Source organism: Homo sapiens, chromosome 20, assembly GCF_000001405.40.
Source record: "Homo sapiens chromosome 20, GRCh38.p14 Primary Assembly".
Classification (NCBI taxonomy): Eukaryota; Metazoa; Chordata; class Mammalia; order Primates; family Hominidae; genus Homo; species Homo sapiens.
In genome coordinates, this window is record NC_000020.11 from 45,759,995 (window position 1) to 45,773,840 (window position 13,846).

General features: G+C 45.8%; 1 long non-coding RNA gene across 1 annotated transcript, besides 5 other annotated features; it reads left to right on the forward strand.

Annotated features, from left to right (window-relative positions):
* The first annotated feature begins 2,066 nt into the window (after positions 1-2,066).
* Positions 2,067-7,586, forward strand: LOC124904915 (uncharacterized). Its single transcript, XR_007067610.1, has 2 exons — positions 2,067-2,333; positions 5,164-7,586. It is a non-coding gene; the product is annotated as an uncharacterized LOC124904915 (long non-coding RNA).
* Positions 2,873-3,805: an enhancer, noted in NCBI's record as "H3K27ac-H3K4me1 hESC enhancer chr20:44391506-44392438 (GRCh37/hg19 assembly coordinates)". NCBI's record gives its function as "activates a minimal SCP1, AML or CMV promoter by ChIP-STARR-seq in primed H9 embryonic stem cells {active_cell/tissue: H9 hESC(primed)}" and the evidence as "EXISTENCE:reporter gene assay evidence [ECO:0000049][PMID:30033119]".
* Positions 4,739-5,671: an enhancer, noted in NCBI's record as "OCT4-NANOG-H3K27ac hESC enhancer chr20:44393372-44394304 (GRCh37/hg19 assembly coordinates)". NCBI's record gives its function as "activates a minimal SCP1, AML or CMV promoter by ChIP-STARR-seq in primed H9 embryonic stem cells {active_cell/tissue: H9 hESC(primed)}" and the evidence as "EXISTENCE:reporter gene assay evidence [ECO:0000049][PMID:30033119]".
* Positions 5,672-6,603: an enhancer, noted in NCBI's record as "OCT4-NANOG-H3K27ac hESC enhancer chr20:44394305-44395236 (GRCh37/hg19 assembly coordinates)". NCBI's record gives its function as "activates a minimal SCP1, AML or CMV promoter by ChIP-STARR-seq in primed H9 embryonic stem cells {active_cell/tissue: H9 hESC(primed)}" and the evidence as "EXISTENCE:reporter gene assay evidence [ECO:0000049][PMID:30033119]".
* Positions 11,073-11,666: an enhancer, noted in NCBI's record as "H3K27ac hESC enhancer chr20:44399706-44400299 (GRCh37/hg19 assembly coordinates)". NCBI's record gives its function as "activates a minimal SCP1, AML or CMV promoter by ChIP-STARR-seq in primed H9 embryonic stem cells {active_cell/tissue: H9 hESC(primed)}" and the evidence as "EXISTENCE:reporter gene assay evidence [ECO:0000049][PMID:30033119]".
* Positions 11,667-12,259: an enhancer, noted in NCBI's record as "H3K27ac hESC enhancer chr20:44400300-44400892 (GRCh37/hg19 assembly coordinates)". NCBI's record gives its function as "activates a minimal SCP1, AML or CMV promoter by ChIP-STARR-seq in primed H9 embryonic stem cells {active_cell/tissue: H9 hESC(primed)}" and the evidence as "EXISTENCE:reporter gene assay evidence [ECO:0000049][PMID:30033119]".

A 13,846-nucleotide genomic window follows, 5' to 3' on the forward strand; every position in this document is an offset into this window, starting at 1 on the left:
TTCTCTTAATTTCAATTCCTTTCATTTTCTGGTAGAGACAAAGGAGACACGTTTTATCTGTGGACCCAAAACTCCGGCGCCGGTCGCAGACTAGGGAAGGCAGCCTTCGCTTGGTGTTTAATCATTGCAGGGATGCCTCTCTGATTATTCACCCAGGTTTCAGAGGTGTCAGACCACGCAGGGACACCTGCCTTGGTCCTTCACCCTTAGTGGCAAGTCCCGCTTTTCTGGGGAAGGGTAAGTACCCCAACCCATTCTCTCTGTGTCTCTACCTCTTCTTTGCCTTTCTGGGGGGCAAGAAACCCCCAACCCCTTCTCCTTCACCCTTAGCGGCAAGTCCTGCTTTTCTAGGGGAGGGGCAAGTACCCCAACCCCTTATATCTCTGCACCCCGATCCCTTATTTCCACGCCCCAACCCCTTATATCTCTGTGCCCCAATCCCTTATTTCCACGCCCCAACCCCTTATATCTCTGCTCCCCGATCCCTTATTTCCGTACCCCAACCTCTTATATCTCTGCACCCGATCCCTTATTTCCACACCCCAACCTCTTATATCTCTGTGCCCCGATCCCTTATTTCCACACCCTGACCTCGTATCTCTGTGCCCCAACCCCTTTCCCACTTTTCTGGAGGGTAAGAACCCCCGAACCCCTTCCCTCCGTGTCTCTACTCTCTCTTTTCTCTGGGCTTGCCTCCTTCACTATGGGCAACATTCCACCCTCCATTCCTCCTCCTCCTTCTCCCTTCCTGTGTTCTTAAGAACTTAAAACCTCTTTAACTTTCACCTGACCTAAAATCTAAGCACCTTATTTTCTTCTGCAACACCACTTGACCCCAATACAAACTTGACAATGGCTCTAAATGGCCAGAAAACAGCACTTTCGATTTCTCCATCCTACAAGACCTAAATAATTTTTGTGGAAAAATGGGCATTTTTCACACTTCGTTCCCTCCCTAGTCTCTGTTCCCAATACGATTCCTCCCAAATCCTCCTTCTTTCCCTCCCGCCTGTCCCCTCAGTCCCAACCCCAAGCGTTGCTGAGTCTTTCCAGTCTTCCTTTTTTCTACAGACCCATCTGACCTTTCTCCTCCTCCCCAGGCTGCTCGTCGCCAGGCCAAGCTAAGTCCCAATTCTTCCTCAGCCTCCGCTCCTCCACACTATAATCCTTCTACCACCTCCCCTCCTCACACCCGGTCCAGCTTACAGTTTAGTTCTGCAACTAATTCTTCCCCACCTGCCCAGCAATTTCCTCTTAGAGAGGTGGCTGGAGCTGAAGGCATAGTCAGGGTACATGTACCTTTTTCTCTATCAGACCTCTCTCAGATCAGTCAGCATTTAGGCTCTTTCTCATCAGACCCCACTAAACATATACAGGAATTCCAATATCTAACTCTGTCCTACAATTTAACCTGAAGTGACTTAAATGTCATCCTGACTTCTACCCTCTCCCCAGATGAACAGGAAAGAGTTTTTTCTCTAGCCCAATTTCACACTGATAACCGCCGGCTTCGTGAACCTGACCTCCAGGAAGGCAGTAGAGCAGTTCCCCGAGAGGACCCCCAATGGAACTATAAGGCAGATTCCCCAGGTACAGCTAGGCGAGATTACATGGTTTCCTGCCTAGTTGAAGGGCTTAAAAAGGCAGCTTACAAAGCTGTTAATTATGACAAGCTTAAAGAAACTACCCGAGGTAAAGATGAAAACCCAGCCCAGGTCGTGGCCCGCTTAGCAGCAACCCTTACACACTTTACCGCCCTAGACCCAGAGGGGCCAGAAGGCCGCCTTATTCTTAATATGCATTTTATCACCCAATCCACTCCTGACATTAGGAAAAAACTTCGAAAATTAGAATCGGGCCCTCAAACCCCACAACAGGAATTAATCAACCTCGCCTTCAAGGTGTACAGTAATAGAGAGGAAGCAGCCAGACGGCAACGCATTTCTGAGTTACAATTACTTGCCTCTGCTGTGAGACAAAACCCAGCCACACCTCCAGCACACAAGAACTTCAAAATGCCTAAGCCGCAGCAGACAAGCATTCCTACAAGACTTCCTCCATCAGGATCTTGCTTCAAGTGCCAGAAATCTGGCCACTGGGCCAAGGAATGCCCGCAGCCCAGGATTCCTCCCAAGCTATGTCCTATCTGTGCAGGGACCCACTAGAAGGCAGACTGCCCAGCTCGCCCGGCAGCCACTCCTAGAGCCCCTAAAGCTCTAGCCCAAGGCTCTCTGACCGACTCCTTCTCAGATCTGCTCGGCTTAGCGACTGAAGATTGACGCTGCCCGATCACCTCGGAAGCCCCCCGGACCATCATGGACGCCAAGCTTCAGGTAACTCTCACAGTGGAGGGTAAGTCCATCCCCTGTTTAATCGATACGGGGGCTACCCACTCCACGTTACCTTCTTTTCAAGGGCCTGTTTCCCTCACCCCGATAACTGTTGTGGGTATTGACGGCCAAGCTTCAAAACCCCTTAAAACTCCCCCACTCTGGTCCCAACTTGGACAACACTCTTTTATTCACTCTTTTTTAGTCATCCCCACCTGCCCAGTTCCCTTATTAGGCTGAGATATTTTAACCAAATTATCTGCTTCCCTGACTATTCCTGGACTACAGCCACATCTCATTGCCACCCTTCTCCCCAACCCAAAGCCTCCTTCGCGTCTTCCTCTTGTATCCCACCTTAATCCACAAGTATGGGACATCTCTACTCCTTACCTGGCAACCAATCACATGCCCATTACCATCCCATTAAAACCTAATCACCCTTACCCTGCTCAATGCCAATATCCCATCCCACAGCACACTTTAAAAGGATTAAAGCCTGTTATCACTCGCCTGCTACAGCATGGGCTTCTAAAACCTATAAACTCTCCTTACAATTCCCCATTTTACCTGTCCAAAAACCGGACAAGTCTTACAGATTAGTTCACTATTCCCCTGCACCCCTCGTCCCAGCCTCTCTTTGCTTTCACTTAGACTGACCCTGACACCCATTAGGCTCAGCAAATTACCTGGGCTATACTGCTGCAAGGCTTCACAGACAGCCCCCATTACTTCAGTCAAGCCCAAATCTCATCCTCATCTGTTACCTATCTCGGCATAATTCTCATAAAAACACATGTGCTTTCCCTGCTGATCATGTCCGATTAATCTCCCAAACCTCAATCCCTTACAAAACAACTCCTTTCCTTCCTAGGCATGGTTAGTGCAGTCAGAATTCTTACACAAGAGCCAGGACCGCACCCTGTAGCCTTTCTGTGCAAACAACTTGACCTTACTGTTTTAGCCTGGCCCTCATGTCTGCGTGCAGCGGCTGCCGCTGCTTTAATACTTTTAGAGGCCCTAAAAATCACAAACTATGCTCAGCTCACTCTCTACACCTCTCATAACTTCCAGAATTATTTTCTTTCTCACACCTGACACATATACTTTCTGCTCCCCGGCTCCTTCAGCTGTACTCACTCTTTGTTAAGTCTCCCACAATTACCATTGTTCCTGGCCCGGACTCCAATCCGGCCTCCCACATTATTCCTGATACCACACATGACCCCCATGACTGTATCTCTCTGATCCACCTGACATTCACCCCATTTCCCCATATTTCCTTCTTTCCTGTTCCTCACCCAATCATGCTTGATTTATTGACTGGCGGTTCCACCAGGCCTAATCGCCACACACCAGCAAAGACAGGCTATGCTATAGTACAAGCCACTAGCCCACCTCTTAGTACCTCTCATTTCCTTTCCATCGTGGAAATCTATCCTCAAGGAAATAACTTCTCAGTGTTCCATCTGCTATTCTACTACTCCTCAGGGATTATTCAGGCCCCCTCCCTTCCCTACACATCAAGCTCAAGGATTTGCCCCCACCCAGGACTGGCAAATTGGCTTTACTCAACATTCCCCGAGTCAGATAACTAAAATACCTCTTAGTCTAGGTAGACACTTTCACTGGATAGGTACAGGCCTTTCCTACAGGGTCTGAGAAGGCCACCGCAGTCATTTCTTCCCTTCTGTCAGACATAATTCCTCAGTTTAGCTTTCCCACCTCTATGCAGTCTGATAACAGACGAGCCTTTATTAGTCAAATCAGCCAAGCAGTTTTTCAGGCTCTTAGTAGTCAGTGACAGACTAATGGTCTATTAAAAACACACCTCACCAAGCTCAGCCACTAACTTAAAAAGGACTGGACAATACTTTTACCACTTTCGCTTCTCAGAATTCAGGCCTGTCCTCGGAATGCTACAAGGTACAGCCCATTTAAGCTCCTGTATAGACGCTCCTTTTTATTAGGCCCCAGTCTCATTCCAGATACCAGACCAACTCAGACTGTGCCCCAAAACACTTGTCATCCCTACTATCTTCTGTCTAGTCATACTCCTATTCACTGCTCTCAACTACTCATACATGCCCTGCTCTTGTTTACACTGCCAGTTTACACTGTTTCTCCAAACCATCACAGCTGATATCTCCTGGTACTATCCCCAATTAGATGTCCTAGGTCCTCCCAATTCTTAGTCCTTTAATACCTGTTTTTGTCCTTCTCTAATTCCGTTTATTTTTTAATTCATACAAAACTGTATCCAGGCCATCACTAATAATTCTAAATGACAAATGTTTCTTCTAACAACCCCACAATATCACCCCTTACCACAAAATCTTCCTTCAGCTTAATCTCTCCTACTCTAGGTTCCCACGCCGCCCCTAATCCTGCTCGAAGCAGCCCTGAGAAACATCGCCCATTCTCTCTCCATACCACCCCCAAAACTTTTCGCCGTCCCAACACTTTACCACTATTTCATTTTATTTTTCTTATTAATATAAGAAGACAGGAATGTCAGGCCTCTGAGCCCAAGCTAAGCCATCATACCCCCTGTGACCTTCACATACACATCCAGATGGCCGGTTCCTGCCTTAACTGATGACATTCCACCACGAAAGAAGTGAAAATGGCCTGTTCCTGCCTTAATTGATGACATTGTCTTGTGAAATTCCTTTTCCTGGCTCATCCTGTCTCAAAAAGCTCCCCTACTGAGCACCTTGTGACCCCCACTCTGCCCTCCAGAGAACAACTCCCCTTTGACTGTAATTTTCCTTTATCTACCCAAATCCTATAAAATGGCCCCACCCTGATCTCCCTTCGCTGACTCTCTTTTCAGACTCAGCCCGCCTGCACCCAGGTGAAATAAACAGCCACGTTGCTCACACAAAGCCTGTTTGGTGGTCTCTTCACATGGACGCGCATGAAAAGAAGAATACTTTAAAAAAAAAAAAAAAAGCAGCATCAGCACCACCTGGAAGCTTGTTATTTATACAGAATCTCAGACCCACCTGAAACCTACTGCATTGGAATTTGCATTTTAACAACTCTGGTGATTTGTTTTCTCATTTCACAAGTTGTAGTCTGTGAAAAATCAGGAGCTATCAGGAAAGGAGATCTACTCCCCTGGCTACTGCGAATCAAGGTTTCTTCTGCATCTACGACTGCTACCCATAAAATGTGAAATACCCTTCAGGAATCTATACGGCTCTAAAGACTCATAGTGAGATGTTAAGTATCCCTTTCTCCTTCCTAATAGCAGCCTATTTCCTTTCAAGGAATTCTCTTCCCCTGTTCTATGTCTTGTTGTGAGGGTTAATTTCAGGTGCCTGCTAACCCAAACAAGCCAGAGAAGCAATTCTTTTCTCTAGGTTCTCAACCAGGGGTGATTTTGCCCCCCAGGGGACATTTTGGCAACATCTGGAAACATATTTGTTTGTGACAAATGACAGGGAGAGATTCTGGCATCTAGTGAAAAGCAGCCGGAGCTGCTGCTAAACATCATATAGTACCCAGGATGGCCCCTCACAGCAAATAATTATCCAGCCCAAAATATTAATAGGACCAAGGCTGCGAAACCCTGAATGAGTAATTACATATATTCTCCCTCTTTCAGGAAGTCTCAATCTTGAGAGAAGGGGGAAAGAGAAATAGAACATCGCTGTCACAGCAGCGTCACTGTGACCCAACTCTTCCTGCCTAGATGACCTGCTTCCTCCCTCTTGACCCTCCAGAGTGCTGTCAATTCCCTACCATGGAGCCCTAGCTTTGCATAAATCATACGAGCCCCAATTTCCTTCCAGTTCACTGTCATTTGCCCAAGTCAGCCAGTATCTTTCTGTTGATGGTAACCAAGAACCCTTACGCCCAACCATCCAATTAGAGGAGGGCTCCATTCCAGGGCAGGGCAGGCTTACCCAGCTGCTAGGCTAAGCACACACTTCAAGCATCAGCAAGTAACTGACAAGTTCAGCTTGAATGAACTTAACCAGAATTTGCAGTCAAGAAAACTAGAAAGAAACTGTTTTAATTTCAGTATAAGTGTTTCATTTTGCATCAAGTGATTTAAACAGTTCATTATTTGGGACCCTGATGTTCTGGGCCATCAGGTGGGGCAGGTTTGCTCTGGTTTTGAGTTTCAGTGCTAAGAAGGAAGAGGAAAACGAGAGAGAAGAGATTGAGTTGTTTATATTATCTGGCCTCAGGTGAGAGAGTACTGGAATGAGAAGCCTATGTTTAAAGGAAAAAAATATTAAAACTGGGAAAGTATTGAACATGGAAAGATGTAACCTATACAATGAAGTACAGCACAATGGAAGAACCTAAAAATTAAAACCAAGAATACATATATATATTTCTTGATATATATATCAAGAAATAGCAATCTATCTGCAAGCCGAAAAGTGTTGCAGAAGGAATGGAGGCTTTGTCATCGAATACACCTGCTGGTTTAACCAAACTAAGATTGAAAGTAAAAACCTTAGCCTGGGAAACATAGCGAGACCCCATCTCTACAAAAACTGAAAAAAATAGCCAGGTGTGGTGGTGCATGCCTGTGGTCCCAGCTACTTCGGAGGCTGAGGTAGAAGGATTGCTTGAGCCCAGGAAGTCGAGGCAGCAGTGGGCCGTGTTTGAGCCACTGCACTCCAGCCTGGGTGACAGAGTAAGACCCTGTCTCAGAAAAAAAAAAAGAAAGAATGTAAAAGCGTTTGAAGCCATTTGGCAAAGATCATGGAAAACAGGGCAAGCAATAGCTACAGAGTTCCAGAGCCATGTTAAATTAATAAATAAGTAAATATTTAAACATTGAATACCTTAACAATTAAAAATCATATCTATCTATTATATTGTTGAATGACAAAAGCCTATTACAGGATGATTCTACCTATATCGACATTTGCATATATGCATAAAGCAAGTCTGGAAGGACCTTCACAAGCATGTTAACAATGGTCACCTATGGGTAGGGAGATCTTCTTTGAATTTTTTTTTTTTTTTTTTTGGTGCATTAGCGATCTTGATGGTTTCAAATGTCATCACCAGGGAATGATAAACGCTGGGGCCTACTTAGGGTGGAGGGCAATAGGAGAGTGAAGATTGAAAAACTACCTATCTGATATTATGCTGATTACCTGGGTGACAAAATTTTCTGTACACCAAATCCCCAAGACACACAATTAGTGCGTGTAACAAACCTGCATATGAATCCCTTTAAAGTAAAATACAAGTTGAAAGGAAAAAAATAAAACCTCTTCAATCATCTTTCAGATAGCAATTTTTTTCATTGCTTCTTCAGTGTACATAAATATTCTTTTACATCATTCACACTTCTTTGAACTTTTCTGTACTGTTTAAATATCGCAATAATGTTTATGCATCCTATTTTAAAAACAACAACAACAAATTAAAAAATAAAAAGGAGAAGGAGGAAGGTGAGGAGGAGAAAAAGAATAACAAAAAAGACTTGTGATCCTAAGCATATAGACAGCTCAGAAATTGCAGGAAAGCTGAAAAAGAAAAACAAGAGAAAGGTAAAGGAAGAATGATCATTAATAATATTACTAAATTGGGCCAGGCACAGTGGCTCACGCCTGTAATCCCAGCACTTTGGGAGGCCGAGGCTGGTGGATCATTTAAGGTCAGGCGTTCGAGACCAGCCTGGCCAACATGGTGAAACCCTGTCTCTACTAAAAATACAAAAATTAGCTGGGCGTGGTGGCTAATGGTGGGTGTAATCCCAGCTACTTGTGAGGCCAAGGCTGGAGAATTGCTTGAACCCAGGGAGCAGAGGTTGCAATGAGCCAAGAGCACACCATTGCACTCCAGCCTGGGCGACAAGTCTCTGTCTCAAAAAAAAAAAAAAAAATTACTGAATTGGGCTACAGATTCTTAGAGCTGCTGATGGGACTTTCATGAACTTCTAATTCAGAGATCCCCAAACCAGACCACACATTAGAATTCCCTGAGGGCTTTTTTTAAATATTGCTCTGAATAAACACATAAACAAGCAGTTCCCTTGGCCCAACCCATCTTTGACCTACTGAATCAAAATATCTGGAATGGGATTGGGGAATCTGCACATTGACCAGCCCGTGCAAGGATCTAAAACCAGCCCCTGGCAACCACTAATGTACTTCTGTCTCTACGAATTTGCCTATTCTAGATGTTCCATATAAATGGAATTATATGGCCTTTTGTGACTGGCTTCTGTCACTTAGCATGTTTTCAAGGTCCATTCATGTTATAGAATGTATTGGTACTTCATTCCTTTTTATGGCTGAATTAATATTTCATTGTATTGATATACCACATTTTGTCTCTCCATTCACCAGTTGATAGATATTTGAGTTGCTTCCACCTGTTGGCTATTGTCCACCTGTTTCTATTTCTATGAACATTTGTTCACAAGTTTTTGCTTGAACATCTAGGGGTTTTGTTTGTTTGGTTTTGGTTTGGGTTTTTTGTTTTTTGTTTTTTGTTTTTTCAGAGATAGGGTCTGTCACCTAGGCAGGAGTGCAGTGGCACCTTCTTAGCTCACTGCAGCCTTGTATTCCTGGGCTCAACTAATCCTCCCACCTCAGCCTCTTGAGTAGCTAGAACTACAGTTATGATGCCACCACACCCTGGTTATTTTTTTAATTTTTCTGTAGAGACAAGGGTCTCACTATGTTGCCCAGGCTGGTGTTAAACTCATGTTCTCAAGCGATCCTTCCACCCCAGCTTCCCAAAGTACTGGGGTTACAGGTGTGAGCCATCACACTTGGCCATTGGATACCTGTTTTTAGTTCTTTTGGGTATATACCTAAGAGTGAAATTGCTGGGTCATATGGTAATTCCACATTTAACTTATTGAGAAACCATCAAACTTTTTAGGGTTTTTTTTTTTTTGAGACGGGGTCTTGCTCTGTTGCCCAGGCCAGAGTGCAGTGGCACAATCATAGCCCCCTGCAGCCTCAATCTCCTGAGCTCCAGTGATCCTCCCACCTCAGCCTCCCAAGTAGCTGGGACTATAAGCACATGTCACTACACCTGACTGACTTTTTTTTTTTTTTTTTAAGTAGAGACAAGATTTTGCTATGTTGCTCAGGCTGGTCTTGAACTCCTGAGCTCAAGCAGTCCTCCCACCTCAGTCTCCCAAAGTGCTGAGATTACAGGCATGAGCCACTGTGCCCAGACCACTGTTTAGTTTTTTAATGTGGCTACTAAAAAACTTGAAATTACATACATGGCTTGCATTATGTTTCTGTGAAAGAGTGCTGCTCTGGATGCTTCTTTCTGCCCAAGTATTCTACTGGAACTTACCTCTCATTTACCTTTGCCCTCACCTGCTTCCAAACAAGACTCAAGGAGGAACTTAATACTATAAAACAGCCAGGTGCAGTGGCTCACGCCTGTAACCCCAGCACTTTGAGAGGCCAAGGCAGGTGGATCATTTGAGGCCAGGAGTTCGAGACCAGCCTGGCCAACTTGGTGAAACCCTGTCTCTACAAAAAATACAAAAATTAGCTGGGCATGGTGGTGCGCATCTGTAGTCCCAGCTACTTAGGGAGCTGAAGCAGGAGGATCACTTGAACCTGGGAGGTCGAGGCTGCAGTGAGCATGATTGCACCACTGCACTCCAGCTTGGGAGACAGAGTGAGACCCTGTCACAAAAAACAACAACAGAAAATAAAATACTACAAAACAAGTTACATGAAAATGAAAGTCTTTAAACCAAGAGTGAAAAAAGGTAGGGGATCCAGGCGCAGTGGCTCACACCTGTAATCCCAACACTTTGGGAGGCCAAGGCATGCAGATCATGAGATCAAGAGATCAAGACCATCCTGGCCAACATGGTGAAACCCCATTTCTACTAAAACTACAAAAGTTAGCTGGGTGTGGTGGTGGGCGCCTGTAGTCTCACCTACTCAGGAGGCTGAGGCAGGAGAATCGCTTGAACCTGGAAGGTGGAGGTTGCAGTGAGCCAAGATTGCACCACTGCACTCCAGCCTGGTGACAGAGCCAGACTCTGTCTCAAAAAAAAAAAAAAAAAAGGTGGGGGAGGACAAGTAATAAAAGAGGGTGGCAAGAAGGATCGATTTTGTCAGAGAAACTGAATAACAACAGCTAACATTTATTGAGTGTGTGCTTTGTGCCAGGCTCTGCTAAGTGCTTTCTTTATAATCTTTTTTTTTTTAGACGGAGTCTCCCTCTGTGGCCTAGGCTGGAGTGCAGTGGCACGATCTCAGCTCACTGCAGCCTCCAAATCCTGGGTTCAAGCAAGTCTCCTGCTTCAGCCTCCCGAGTAGCTGGGACTACAGGCGTCCACCACCATGCCCAGCTAATTTTTGTATTTTTAGTAGAGACGAGGTTTCACCATGTTGGCCAGGGTGGTCTCAAACTCCTGGCCTCAGGTGGTCGACCCACCTCGGCCTCCCAAAGTGCTGGGATTACAGGTGTGAGCCACTGCACCTGGCCAGTGCTTTCTTTATAATGGACTCTTCACACCAATTCTATGAGGTAGGCAGTGTGGTAATGTTATTATACACACAAAGCTGATAAGCAGCACAAGATTATAGATTCAGACCCAGGCCTTACTCCGAAACCTGAGCTCTTGGCACCCTGGTAGCCAATGCGAAGATGGAAACATCAGCTCTAGAAAGCCCCTACCACAGAGTCTGGAAAGACAGACGATGCCCAGTAAGTTATTTCCCTGCCCATTCTCACACTAACTCAGAGGGAGAAACTTTTTCTTGATCTTGAGCTCCACAGGGAATTTGACCCTGTGGCTTTGTACAAGAAACACTAATACGACATAGTGGGTAATGTCCCCCATATCAATGTTACCAGAAATGAAGCAGCATGCCACATCATATGAAAACAGAGGGCATAATGTTAGGTCTTAATTTATTAAGTGCAGTTCAGTCGGGATCCAGGAGCTTAGACAGCTGATAGCAAGCTTTCACTTTATCTTTTAGAATGCCCTTTTGCCCTTTTGAGTCTCTTGCCTGGAAATGGTCTATGACAGACCTCTGCTGCCCTCTGGTGGGCAGAGCATGAAGCACCCAGCAAAGAATTCTTTCCAGTCACATGGCCTCTTCTTTGTTTATATTGCTGAATCTGTGGGAAGCTGGGCTTCTCCACACAATCCCTTGAGGAGAAGGCTTAACTTGTATATGAAAGGAAAGACACCTCTCCCAACTCAAGAGCAACCCACTGCCAGGATACGCTCTGGGCCTCCTGCCTTCCTCACCCCACTTACACGCCTTACCAATAACATCATGCCCCCACGGGAGCAGTGGAGGCTGCAGGGGCCCATGGTATTGCTGGGGCCAAGGGCACATATGGAGTCTGAGATTTCTACAACCAGATGGTCAAGAAGCAGGGTGGAGAAGGGAGGAGCTGCGTGGTTCTGGTCAAAGAACAAGTCTTTCTCAGCCTACACTGGAGCCCCAGACATTCCTGCCCACGATGAGGAAGCTGAGGAGCAGGGCGGGGGAGAAGGGTGGCTTTTCAACCTGGTCAGAGGCTAATTTCGGGGTGCAAGGTGAGAGAGTAGGATCACGGTCCACTGAGACCTGCTCCTGGGTCATTTCCACCCCAGGACCAAGGCTGAAATGGACTTAAACCCTGAGGAAGGAAAGGTTCTAATGGCTTCTTTAGTTCAGGGTCCAACAGTAGAGAAAGCTGCCCAGAAAGACCTGGGGGTGGGAATTTGGCCCCAGCTCAGCCTTTAACCGCCAGCTTTCAAATTTAACCCTTCAGCACTCTCTCTCATCTCTATCTCTCTCTCATCTCCATCTCTATCTCTCTATACATCTATCTATCTCTCTATCTCTCTCGACGTTGCTACCTGTAAGCAGGTCAGCAGCTCCCTCTGGAAAGGGTGAGCCTCCAGACGAGGAGGAAAGGTCTGCAAGGAGCAGCTCTCCCATTGCTCAGCCTGAGCTGTGCCTGGGGCTCACACCTGTCTCTCCAGTCCCACTCTCCACCCTGACAGAACATCATTCTGCAATATGAGAGGATTCCCAGACTGTTGTTTTTCATTGAAAGTTCTACCATACTGATGATTTTTTTTTTTTTTTTTTTTTTTGAGATGGAGTTTCGCTCTTGTCGCCCGGGCTGGAGTGCAATGGCAGGATCTCGGCTCACTTGGAACTTCCACCTCCCAGGTTCAAGCAATTCTCCTGCCTCAGCCTCCTGAGTAGCTGGGATTACAGGCGTGCACCACCAAGCCTGGCTAATTTTTGTATTTTTAGTAGAGACGGGGTTTCACCATGTTGGTCAGGCTGGTCTTGAACTCCTGACCTCAAGTGATCTGCCTGCCTTGGCCTCCGAAAATGTTGGGATTACAGGCGTGAGCCACTGCACCCGACCACTGCTGAGTGTCTGTGCCTTCTCCCCCTTGTTTTCATCCTGGCATGTGAAATTCTGGTTTCTACCTGGTTCAGAACATTTATCTCTTTTCAGTACAGTAGACATGTCAATGTTGCCTGATCTGAAAAAGAGTGGCTGGCATGAACCTCGCAGTGGCCAACCCAGAAACATCCATGACTCCAGGATCATGTTGCAGGGAACTGGGAAGGGCCAGTGTCTGTGTGATGGGCTGCTGAACATTTTGGCAGATCCCTCTTCCACTGTTTTATCATTTTGTTGTTTATTTAAAAACTCGAATACATGCACATAGTTTTTTTAAAAATCATTATATCATCACACCACCACACCCGGCTAATTTTTGTATTTTTAGTAGAGACAGGGTTTCTACTAAAACAGTCAAAGGCACAGCTACTCAGAAGGCTGAGGTAAGAGAATTGCTTGAGCCCAGGAGGCGGAGGTTGCAGTGAGCGGAGATCGTGCCACTGCACTCCAGCCTAGGCGACAGAGCAAGATTTCGTCTCAAAAAAAAAAAAAGATAACTAGTTAAATAAATTACCCATTTCATAGAGTTCTATTAAAAGAATATACGTGATGACATGAAAGATCTCCAAGATACACAATATAATCCATTTCATATAAATAAAAAACATAACTTTAAAAAATTATCTTGGTCCCAAGAACCTAGGGATATCCCCTCCCTAAAATAAAGCTACCTGGAGGGGACAAACTGCCTGTCTTGGAGCCAAGGGCTGGCCCTCAAGGAAGGAGGTCCAAGGTGGGAACATTCCAACATCTATAAGAAACTAGCCACTCGGCTGGGCACAGTGGCTGACGCCTGTAATCCCAGCACTTTGGGAGGCCAAGGCAGGCAGATCACCTGAGGTCAGGAGTTCAAGATAAGCCTGGCCATCATGGTGAAACCCCGTCTCTACTAAAAATACAAAAATTAGTCAGGCATGGTAGCGCGCCTGTAGTCCCAGCTACTCGGGAGACTGAGGCAGGAGAATCACTTGAACCTGAGAGGCAGAGGTTGCAGTGAGCCAAGATTGCGCCACTGCACTCCAGCCTGGGCAACAGAGTGAGACTACATCTCAAAAAAAAAAAAAAACTAGCCACTCACCCTTGTTCCACCCTCAACCCACATTCTCCAATAAAAGAAAGAAGGT